The 12,470-nt window shown below is 40.3% G+C and overlaps 1 protein-coding gene across 30 annotated transcripts in view; it reads right to left on the bottom strand.

The window, feature by feature from the left end:
- Window positions 1–12,470, bottom strand: part of ACSM3 (acyl-CoA synthetase medium chain family member 3) — a 123,177-nt gene that overhangs the window by 17,591 nt on the left and 93,116 nt on the right. For 18 of the 30 annotated variants that reach the window (XM_047434427.1, XM_024450368.2, XM_047434421.1 and 15 more), the window contains 4 exons: window positions 9,738–10,007; window positions 3,942–4,152; window positions 2,411–2,618; window positions 84–194 (listed from right to left, as the gene is read on the bottom strand). In XM_047434427.1, coding sequence (XP_047290383.1) covers window positions 84–194; window positions 2,411–2,618; window positions 3,942–4,152; window positions 9,738–9,956 — 749 coding nt within the window. In that variant the 5' untranslated portion in view covers window positions 9,957–10,007. The remainder of the gene's footprint in view (window positions 1–83; window positions 195–2,410; window positions 2,619–3,941; window positions 4,153–9,737; window positions 10,008–12,470) is intronic. The other 12 variants (XM_047434437.1, XM_047434435.1, XM_047434438.1 and 9 more) reach the window with 1 other exon arrangement.

Raw genomic sequence — 12,470 nt, 5'->3', positions numbered from 1 at the left:
GAGTTCGAGACCAGCCTGGCCAACATGGCGAAACTCTGTCTCTACTGAAAATACAAAAATTAGCCAGGCACAGTGGCACATACCTGTAATCCCAGCTACTCAGGAGGCTGAGAATCGCTTGAACCAGGGAGGTGGAGGTTGCAGTGAGCCAAGATCGAGCCACCGTACTCCAGCCTGGGTGACAGAGAAAGACTCTGTCTCAAAAAAAAAAAAAAAAAAGTTTGCTGACCGTGAAAGGTTGGCTTTTCTGTTTCCCACAAGAGAGTCTACATAGTTCTGGATATAGCAGACAATAAGATTGAACAGGATCTAAGCATCCATCCAGGGAAGAAAGAGTTCCAGTTAAAGAGAAAGAAAACCTTTTAGTTCCAAAGGATAATCAGACTTCTATACAAGTCACACATTAGGGCAGCTGCACACATACATATCAAGTGTCTAAGATGCACACAGACTTATCCAGGCATGTGGGGTTGAGAATGAGTAGAAACAACCAGGCCATTCATGAGAAATATAGAAAAGCTATTTTCTTTTCTTTCTTTTCTTTTCTTTTCTTTTTTTTTTTTTTGAGACAGGGTTTCTCTCTCTCTCACCCAGGCTGGAGTGCAGTGGCTCAGTCATGGCTCATTGCAGCCATGACCTCCTGGGTTCAAGCGATCTTCCTACCTCAGCCTCCCGAGTAGGCTGGGACTACAGGTATGCATCACCATGCCTGGCTAATTATTTTTATTTATATAGAGAAGAGGTTTCACTGTGTTTCCCAAGCTGGTCTTGAACTCCTGGACTCAAACCATCATCCCACCTCAGCCTCCTAAAGTGATGATTTATAGGCATCAGCCACTGCGCCTGGCTAAAAAGCTGTTTTCAAAATCTGACAAAGCTACACCAAGTGTTCAGTCTATGATTTCATAATTATCTTAATTAATTAAAAATACTATCTATAGGCCGGGCGCAGTGGCTCACGCCTGTAATCCCAGCACTTTGGGAGGCTGAGACGGGCAGATCATGAAGTCAGGAGATTGAGACCATCCTGGCTAACATGACGAAACCCCATATCTGCTAAAAATACAAAAAGATTAGGTGGGCATAGTGGCATGTGCCTGTAATCCCAACTACTTGGAAGGCTGAGGCAGGAGAATCGCTTGAACTCGGGAGGTGGAGGTTGCAGTGAGCCGAGATTGCGCCACTACACTCCAGCCTGGGTGACAGAGTGAGACTCCGTCTAAAAAAAAAAAAGTATCTATAGCTGTGTTCCTATCACTTCCATCACCAATACGGTTGCCCTCAAAACCTGAGGAAGGGTTGTTGTACTGATCTCTTACTAGAGGCAGTACATACAGAAGTGAGGAGTGTAGGCTCAGCACCCATACTGCCTGGGTTTGAAACTTAGCTCTGCCAGATACTAGCATTTGACCTTATTCAGCTGTGTAATTATAGTACCTAGGTTGCTGTGAGGTTTAAATGAGGTAATATATCTGAAGTCCTTAGAATAGTTTCTGGCACATAACCGTATCAATATAAGCTATGATTGCAATTATAACATTATTTTTATTAGAACCGTACTTGGCCTTTGGCAAGAACTCAATATTAGGAATTTTAAATGTGGTAGGAAAAGTCCATAGTTGCAAGCATGCTCCCAAATCCTTGAGTAAAGGTAGGAAGCTCATTCTAGAGAAGGACTTTGCTGCCAGCCCAATTCTAAGGCATAACCAGTACCTGGCAAGAGTTCCAAGTAACCCATGGAAACACCCCATGCTAGGCTTCAACATCAGTGAAATTCACTTTTATAATTGCATCCATTAACATTAAGCATTTTTTCTTTTAACCTGATACCAGTGTTGCTGTCAGCAAGGGAATGGGATAGCCAACACTGAAGGACTGACTGTGATCCTTCAGTGACAGGTGCTGGGAGCACTCTCTAGAGATTGCCTTGACTGAAGACAGTGGCTTTGTTAAAGGTCTTGACTCCTAGGGACAACCCCATCCAATTACTGATCAATGTGGGTATATAAAGGCCAGGACCTCTTGCTTTAGCTGGGAACAGCTTTGAGGAGGTCCTTCAGAGGTCCCAGTGGGTTGACTGAAAGCTTTGTAGGGAATACATCGCAAATAAATTTCTTTCTCTGCCCAGTCCGACATTCTTACTCATTCCTCACAGGTGTTAATCCCAAAAGAACTCCTTAATAAACTTCCTATACACCAATCTCCAATCTCAGGGGATCCCAACCTACAAAAAGCACTCCAAGCTCCTTCCTACTTCAGAGTTTAGCACTATTAGTGCAGCAATAACTACCAACTGTTCCCTTTGCCTGTTGTTTTAATTTGCATTTTTCTAATCACTGCTGGGTTTAATATCTTTTTATTGTTGCCTTTCCTTTTGGGAAGCTGTTTTACAACAAGTGTGGCTACTCACTTCATCAACTCCTTGAGGTTCCCCCACCCCTCTCTGGAGTTCTCTGATACAATCAGCTTGGAGTGCAGATTTTCACATTTGGATGCAACAGCGTCTACTGCTGGGGCTAAAACATCATTGGTGATAATGCAGTTTGCTTTTGAAGATTGTAGTCTGTAGAGAATGTCTTTCTGGGTCAGCTGAGTGGTTCCTGGAATTAAAACTGTCCCTAAAGGGGCAGAAAAGAAACAGTGTTTAGAAGAAATGTTATTCTTCATTATGTTAGAGTAGTGTAGATACCATCTATACATTCTGTATTTCTCAGAGTGAGTTAGTCAGTTTACCAGGAAGATATCTATTTATCTTGCTTTCACTTATCTGCTTTTGCCTTTCAAGGGATTTCAGAGTCTATGACCCTTTTGGCTTAACATGAAAGCATGTTAAATACTGGATAATTATTCTTTATTTGAAGACCATCCCTAACATTGAGCTTGAAGAAGGTTTTGATTGAAAAGTAATATTAACCAATATTTATTGAGTATTTGATTATATGTTTTAACTTATTCAGTCCCCACCAAAAAAACCCCAAAACATAAAAGCTATGAATAACTTGCCCAAGGTATCACTTAAGTAGTAAGTGACAGTGCAGGGATTGAACCCTGTAGCCTGACTCCAGAACTGTACACTTCACCACATCAGCTGAGTGCCTCTTAAAATGTACATGATTGCTTTATGATTTATTTCCAAAAGGAAGTGTGGAGGCATTCATCTTTTCTGTGGTTCTATTCCTGCTGGTTATATATTACACTGTAAGATGAAGTATAATGATTAAGAGTGTCCTGGAGCCAGACACTCTTATAGCTGGGACTTGGGACAAGCCACTTCACCTCTGTGAGCTTCAGGTTCTGCATCTGTAAAGTGATATTGTAATAATACTACTTCTTTTATAGGATAATTAGGGGATTAAATGAGTTAAAATATGTAAAGAACTTAGAACAGTGCTCAGTAAGCTTTGGGTATTATTTTCTCAAAGGATAAATGGACTCTCAAAAATATATAGATCTTCCTCCTGGGCCCCACCACCCTTAAGTCCCAGACCCTTAAGACAGGGATGGAAAGCATTCACTTCACAATAGGTTTTACTCTTCCCAGGCGACACAGTAGGCAAGAAGATTGGGGAACACATGTCTGGCATTCCTGGACTCTTGACACTGGCTCATCCTTTCACTTTGGGAAGGACCAGGCCTCTCCATCAGGGTTCTTCAAGAAACCAACAACCAGGACCAGAACACAGGTTCTTTAGAATATCTTTTCTTTCTAATCAGGGCAACACAACAATTTTTGTGAGGCTGTAACTCTAAGATTATCTTTTAAAGATGTTCCACCTAGGGATAAGGAATTAGCCTACCACGGCCTAACTTTTATATAATTTAAAGGCACTCTTTGACAATAAGCCCACAACAAAATAAATGTATCATGATTACTTAGGTGTTCTGGAAAATCTCCCCTCCAGCTTAGTAATAAATATGATCGGAAAGCAAACATTACTAACCTGTTCGCAGACAGGCCACATTTGCAAGCCACCACTCTGGGACCCTGGGCAGAATCAGAATTACCCGATCTCCTCTTTGTAGGGAACAGGCTTCTGAAAGTATATTGGCAAATTTTCTGGACAGAGATCCCAGTTCCTCAAAACTCCATCGCATCTCTTCTCCATTTCTGTTGATCCACCAGAAGGCTGGATTTGAAGGTTTCTTTCCAGCCTGAGGAAAGAAAAACCAGTCATTGATTTAAAGGTTGTTATACAGCTAAATTCTGGGCCAACTGACTCAATGGAATAGATTAGCTGAAGAAAGTTCGCAAGTCATTAGTTAGAACATGGATGGAGAATTTGGAAATAACTCTGGGGGAGACATCATCAAGATGGATGACTAGAGATGCCCAGTACTCACCTCCTACCAGAAGTACCAAGACAGTAAGCAGATAACATGACAAATAGAGTGTCAAAGGGAGAACACTGGAATTTAGCAAGGAAGTGACAAAACTCTCTGAGACCTGAAAACTAGAGATGAAAGCATAGAGAGGGAAGAAGAGCAGCTGGCCAGGATCAGCACAGAGCCCAGAGGGACTCCCTATTTTGAGGAAAATGTAAGTGGAAGATCCTCAGCAGTACACATTCCCATCACAGATGCCTGAAGTCCCACCTACAGGAGAGCCCCTCAGCCCTCACATGCCCTGAGCCTAGTAAACGCTGTATAGTATAGTATACTAGTATAGTATAACATTGTTCCAGAGAGGAAGTTCATACTAGGTCCTCCTGCAACAAACCCCAGGACCCGAGCTGCTATAGCATGGCATCATTTTAGGAACAGAGCTACTACCATACTACATCTTGCCCTGGGGCCAATTGCCCCTGCATCTCCACATCCCTGGGGCCTTGCTGACATCCCCACACGTTCCCGTAGAGGGCTGCAGCATTCCAACACCAGGTGGATCCAGTGATAGAGCCAGGCCACTGGCACCCGAGCCTACACACAGCACTCTACACCCCAGGTAACAGGGAGTCCAGCACATCAAGAGAGGCTGCCCCAGGACATAAGGCACTAAAGCACACTCCCCAGAGCCTGAGAGCTGCCTTCCTGAGCCTGCTGCCATGAACATGATCTTGCCCCCTCTAGTGGCAGAGCCGCTTTGTGCCTGCATTGCCATCTGCGGACCCAAGGACTGGCCCATTCAGGCTGCCACTACTACAAGTACCCATGTGCACTGCCAAAGGACCTGAGGTCTGACTCACTTGAGGCTTACCACTGCTACTGCCAGTGCCCATGCACACTTCCTGGGAGCCTGAGGATCAGCCTGCCTGGGACCCACTGGAGCCACTGCTGGCACCCTTATGATGAACAAAATAACACCTATCAATAACAATCTTGAATGTAAACAGTTTAAATTCCCCAGTTAAAAGATATGGACTGTATGGACTGACTAAATGGATAAAAAACAAGACCCAACTATAGGCTGCCTACAAGAAACTCACTTCACCTGTAAAGATACACATAGATAGGGCCAGGCGCAGTGGCTCATGCCTGTAATCCCAGCACTTTGGGAGGCCAAGGCGGGCGGATCACGAAGTCAAGAAATCGAGACCATCCTGGCCAACATGGGGAAACCCCGTCTCTATAAAAAATACAAACATTAGCTGGGCATGATAGCGTGCACCTTGTAGTCCCAGCTACTTGGGAGGCTGAGGCAGGAGAATCGCTTGAACCCGGGAGGCGGAGGTTGCAGTGAGCTGAGATCGTGCCACTGCACTCCAGCCTGGTGACAGAGTGAGACGCTGTCTCAAAAAAAAAAAAAAAAAAAAAGACACAGAAAATGAAGAGATGGAAAATAATATTTCAAACAAATAGAAACCAAAAGTGTGCAGGAATAGCTATGCTTATATCACATGAAATAGACTTTAAGTCAGAAAACATAAAAAGAGGCAAAGAAGGTCATTATATAATGATAAATAGATCAATTCAGCAAGAGGATATAACAATTGTAAATATATACGCACCCAACATCAGTGCACCTGGATATATAAAGCAAATATCATTAGATGTAAACAGATAGACTCCAATACAACAATGTTCAGGACTTTAACACTCTACCCTCAGCATTAGACGGATCATCTAGACAGAAAATTAACAAAGAAACATTGGATTTATACTGCACTTTGGACCAAATGGACCTCGCAGATATTTACACAACATTTTATCCAACAGCTACAGAATACACATTCTTCTTCTCATCAGCACATGGCACATTCTCCAGAATAGACCATATGTTAGGGCACAAAACAAATTTCAACAAATTCTTAAAAATTGAAATCATACCAGGTATGTTCTTAGACCACAATGGAATAAAACTAGAAATCAGTAACAAGAGGAACTTTGGAAAACTGTACAAATACATGGAAATTAAACAACATGCTCCTGAATGACCAGTGAGTCAATGATGAAATTGAGAAGGAAAGCAAAAAATGTCTTGAAAATAATGAAAATGGAAGCATAATATATCAAAATCAATGAAATAAAGCAAACACAGTGTTAAGAAGGGAAGTTTATAGCCATAAACACCTATATCAAACAAGCAGAAAGATTTCAAATAAACAATCTAAGAATGCACCTCAAGGAACCAGAAAAGCAAGAACAAACTAAATCCAAAATTAGTAGAAAGAAAGAAATAATAAAGATCAGAGCAGAAATAAATGAAATTGAGGCAAAATTATAAAAGATCAACAAAACAAAATTTTTTGAGGAAAAACAAAATAGACAAATCTTTAGCTAGATTAAGAAAAAAAGAGAAGACCCAAATAAATAAAATCAGAAATGAAAAAGGAGACATTACAACTGTACCACAGAAATACAAAAGATCATTAAAGACTCTTATGAACAACTATATGCCAACAAATTGGAAAACATAGAGGAAATGGATAAATTCCTGGACACACATAACCTACCAAGATAGAAAACCTGAATAGACCAATAATATGTAATGAGATTGAATCAGTAATAAAAAAAGCCCAGAATTGGATGGTTTTACTGCTGAATTCTACCATAAGAACTAACACTAAATCTTTTTTTTTTTTTTTTGAGAGGGAGTCTCACTCTTGTCACCTAGGCTGGAGTGCAATGGTGTGATCTCAGTTCACTGCAACCTCCACCTCCCAGATTAAAGTGATTCTCCTCCCTTAGCCTCCCTAGTAGCTGGGATTACAGGCATGCACCACCATGCCCGGCTAATTTTTGTATTTTTAGTAGAGACACCACACTTCCTAACTTCAAATCATACTACAGAGCTATAGTAACCAAAACAGCATGGTATTGGCATAAAAACAGATGCATAGACCAATGAAACAGAATAGATAACCCAGAACTAAACCCACACATTTACATTCAACAGATTTTCAACAAAGGTGCCAAGAACATACACTGAGGAAAGGATATCCTCTTCAGTACATGGTCCGAGGAAAAGTGGTAATCATATGTGGTAGACTAAGACTAGAGCCCTCTCTCTCACCATATACAAAAATCAACTCGAACTGGATTATAGACTTAAATGTAAGACTCAAAACTATAAAACAACCGAAGAAAATATAGTGTAAATGCTTCAAGTCATTGATCAAGGCAAATGTTTTATTTTTTATTTTAATTTTAATTTTTAAAATTTTTTAAATTTTATAATAAATTTAATAAAATTGGGCAGATCCTGAGCCAGAGTAGGCTCTGAGACTCCCCTAGGCAAATATTTTAGGGATAAGGATATGAAAACACAGGCAACAAAACCAAAAACAGACAAATGGGACTATACAAAGCTAAAAAGCTTCTGGACAGTAAAGGAAGCAATCAACAGAGAGAAGAGACAAGATGTAGAATGGGAGAAAATATTTGTGAACTATTCACCTGACAAGGAATTAATATCCAGAATATACAGGGAATGCAAATAACCCAACAGCAAAACAAAACAAAACAAAACAAATAATTCAATTAAAAAATGGACATAGAATCTGAATAGACATTTCTCAAAAGACATACTAATTGGCAGCAAGTATATGAAAAAATGCTCAACATCATTAATCATCAGGATAATTCAAATCAAAACCATGATGAGATATGATCTTACCCCAGTTAGAATGGCTATTGTCAAAAAGACAAAAGATAACAAATGCTTGAGAGGATGTGGAGAAAAGGGAACTCTGAAACACTATTGGTGAGAATATAAATTAGTACAGCCATTGCAGAAAACAATATAAGGGCCTCTCAAAAAACTAAAAATAAAACTACCATATGATTTAGCAGTCTCACCACTGGGTATTTTTTCAAAGGAAAGGAAATCAGTCTATTGAAGAGATATCTGCACTGCCATGTTTATTGCAGCACTGTACATAATAGCCAAGATATGGAATCAACCTAAATGTCTATCAAGAGATGAATGGATAAAGAAAATGTGGTATATATACACAGTGCAATACTATTCAGCCATAAAAAAGAATGAAATTCTGTTATTTGTGGCAACATGTATGAACTTGGAGGACATTATGTTAAGTGAAATAAGTCAGACACGGAAAGATAAATGCCACATGTTCTTACTCATATGTGGGAGCTTAAAAAAATGAGCTTCACTGAACTTCAGCCTGGGCAACAAAGTAAGACCCTGTCTCTTAAAAAAAAAAAAAAAAAAAAAAAAAAGGAGCTCGGCCTGGCGTGGTGGGTGGCTCACGCCTGTAATCCCAGTGCTTTGGGAGGCCAAGGTGGGCGGATCACTTGAGACCAGGAGTTCAAGGTCAGCCTGGCCAACATGGCAAAACCCTGTCTCTACTAAAAATACAAAAATTAGCCGGCATGGTGGCAGGTGCCTGTAGTCCCGGCTACTCGGGAGGCTGAGGCACAAGAATTGCTTGAACTCATGAGGCGGAGGTTGCAGTGGGCTGAGATCACACCACCGCACTCCAGCCTGAAAAGAGCTCATAGAAGTAGGGAGTGGAATTGTGGCTATTAGAGGCTAGGAACGGTAGTGGGGAGAGGAGCATAGAAAGAGGTTGGTTAATGGATGCAAAATTATAGCTAGATGGATGGAATAAGTTCTAGTGTTCTATAGCACTGTAGAGTGAAAACAGTTAAGAATAATATATTGAGTATGTTCAAAAAGCTAGGAGAGAGGATTTTGAATGCTCCCAGCACAAAGAAATGATGCATGTTTGGGATGATGGGTAGCCTAATTACCCTCATTTGATCACTACACATTTTATACATGTATCAAAAATATCTTTGTACCCCATAACTATGTATAGTTATTACATAACTAAACATAACAGGAAAAATAATAACTTTGGGGTCCTTATTTCTAGACGTTGGAAGCCATGTCATTTCTTTTGGCCCAAATCATTTCCCATTTAGCCTGATCATTTTTCTTTCCAATAAGTGAGAATTCTTGCATCCTTTACATTTTCCCCAAAGATTTATCTGTGCCTCCTTTTCTACCATTTCTGACTCTTGGAATTACTTTTCACTCTTCTCCTTTTTTTTTTTTAAGTCAACCTAGAATTCTACATTTATGTAATACAGGGTCTCTCAACTAACCATGGAACTATTGACATTTCGGGTCAAATAATTCTTTGTTCTGGAGGCTGCCCTGTGCATTATGGGATATTTAGCAGAATCCCTGGCTTTTACCTGTTAGATGCCAGTAGCAACTGCCTCTGCCCCTATCATGGCAACAAAAATATTTCTAGACATTAGAGATGTTACCTAGGGGTAAAATCACTCCCAGTTGAGAAATTGTGGTCTGACTGGCCCTCCCCCCATACCTTTTCCTTATCAGTCCATTGGTCCAGGACATCTTTAGCAAAGTTGAAATACTCTGGAATCCCCAGTTTGAAGTCCTGTTTCATGGATTCATAGTTGGAGAAATTCTGAGGGGTTGCTGTTCTATTATCTTTATGCAGTGCCCTCACAGAACCAAAAATTGCTAGGCGCTGAAAACACTTGGCATGACGTAGCATCTTCCTGGTGACACGAGCTAGCATCAGTCTTGTTGGAAGCTTTAGCACTCAGGATTTGCACAGAGACCAGTTCATCTAAAAGACAAGCAAAAAGGACATATATTTGTTTCTGTCCTGAAGGTAGCCATACCCCAAAGTGGCTAAGTTTTGTTATTAGTATTGATAATCATCATGATAGTACCATTTGCTGCGTACACTCTGTGTTCCAAACACAGTGCTCAGTGTTTTATAGACACTTTCTTATTAAATCCTCAGAGAAACCCTGTGAAGTGGGTACTATTATCATCTCTGTTTACAGATTGAGAAAATGACTAGTAAGAGGCATTGGCTGGATTTGAACCCAGAACTATCAGGTCCTAGCCCATTCTCCAGAATACTGTGCACTATTGACACCCATATGCATTTCTAAAGAAGTAAAGATCTGGGTCACCCACTTAATCTCACTGAAAGCAAAGGGCTAAGGCTTCTTGTCTAATATCTTTCACCTGCAGATTTCAAAGTAGGGTAGAAATGTTAAGGAGCATTTTTCACAGTGGATAATCTGTAGATGAAGAAATCGAGAGTAGCCCAATAACAATTAGACATGAAAGCACTGTCACAGTTTATGAACTGTCTAGTTGATAGGTTGCAGTTCCCATGCTCTCAATAGGGGCCCATACTACTTTTAAGTCCAGGCTTGGAGCTGCATTTAATAGAGATGTAATAATGGGGCTTTAACATTTAGGACTTTTGTCGGGGAGGCCCCTCTGGGCCATCGCCTGCTTCTGTGGGAAATCATTTGATCACAATGTCATTTACTTGGTTGAGGCTGTTAAAAATACAGTTCTAGGGATTATGAGTGTTTGAGATTCTCCTCATTATACTTCCTGTAATTTTCCAAATTTCCTACAATGCAATATATATTACTCTCATAATCATTAAATCATCATTCTAACTACAATTCTAGCTGTGTGCCATGTAAGGCAGTCTGGCTATGTGGAAGCATTTCTGTATTGATACATTGCCAAAACAATACATAATTGCAGATGTCAGCTAAATGGACAGTTTAGCTGACATCTACAGTTATTGCAGTTTTACCCTAAGCAGACCTGGTGTTTGGGCATCATGTTGATATAACCGATGCATCAGGAAACCTGGGTACTTCTGTCCTTCCCATTTATGTGTGTGAAGACCTGACAAGTCAGTGATCTTGAGCCCTCTGACACCATCTGGTTTCAGCTTTTTCCTTTTTCACCTGCAAAGAAAACTGGAGACCCAGAGAGGGGAAACAGCCTGCTTCATTCTGTCATACCAGAGTTAGAACTAGAACTCTGGTCTTTGGATTAAATGTTTTTACTGTCATTCGACAGGATTTCAATAGAGCAGTGGTTTGCAGTCCAGCTGTACATTTGAATCACCAAGAAAGCATTAAAAAAAAATACTCTGATGCCTAGGTCTTGGATCAATTAAATCAGAATATTTCAGAGTGGGCTCTGGGCCCATTTATATTTTTTAAAATGTCCTCAGATTTTAATGTGCAGCAGCCATGGTTGAGAATCACTGATTTAGAGGCTGTGATTTGTGAACCACCATCATCATCTTTATCACCTAGAAGCTTGTTAGAAATGCACATTCTCAGGCCCCACTCTAGATCTACTGAATTGGTAGATGTTGACATTTTAACAAGATCCCAGGTGACTGGTATGTACATTCAAGTGTGAAAAGCACCAGTCTATGGCATGATGGTTAAATACACTGGCTACTGAGTCATATGGTCATGTGATATGGTCTCCCAGTTTTGCCTCTTATGAACTGCATGACCTTATTTGAATTATTAATCACTCTGAACCTCAGTTTCACATTTTACCAATGGAGCGACTAATAGAACCTCCATCAGAGATTTGTCCTGAAGACTGAATGGGATACTGTATGCAAAATGCTTATCATGGTGCCAAGCATATTACTCTCTACTAGAATAGGGGTCAGCAAACTTTTTCTGTGAAGGGCCAGACACTAAATATTTGAGGCTTTGTGGGCCATATGGTCTCTGCTGCAGGTATTTAACTCTGCCATTGAGAGAGCAGCCATTGACAATACATAAATAAATTTTGGCATGGCTGTGTTCTAATAAAACCTTATTTATGGTACTGACACTAGAATTTCATTTAATTTTCATGTGTCATGAATTAGTGTTCCTCTTTTAGTTATTTTTTCAACCATTAAAAAATTTAAAAACCATTCTTGGTTCAAAGGCTATACAAAAACAGGCAGAGGGCTGGATTTGACCCATGGGCTACAGTTTGCTGATCTTTGCACTGTGATGTAAGTTCTACCAGAGCAGGGGCCTTGTCTGTTATGTTCCTGGGAAGAATTAACAAAAATTTCTTGGCAGGCTTTAGGAGAAAAGGCTGCTCTTAAGAACAGAACTAAAATCACTCTGAATCCCAGTTGCCCTGCAGGTTAAGACCTTAAGTCTAACAATGTCATTCTGTTTGGCATTGGGGATTGGGTACAGAGGGAACTACCGGTCCCTGTTTTTTTTTTTTTTTTTTTTTTTTT

The sequence above is a fragment of the Homo sapiens genome, chromosome 16 (assembly GCF_000001405.40).
Source record: "Homo sapiens chromosome 16, GRCh38.p14 Primary Assembly".
NCBI classification, from domain to species: domain Eukaryota; kingdom Metazoa; phylum Chordata; class Mammalia; order Primates; family Hominidae; genus Homo; species Homo sapiens.
The sequence above is the reverse complement of the archived record's forward strand: the minus strand, read 5'-3'. Positions and strand labels throughout refer to the sequence as shown.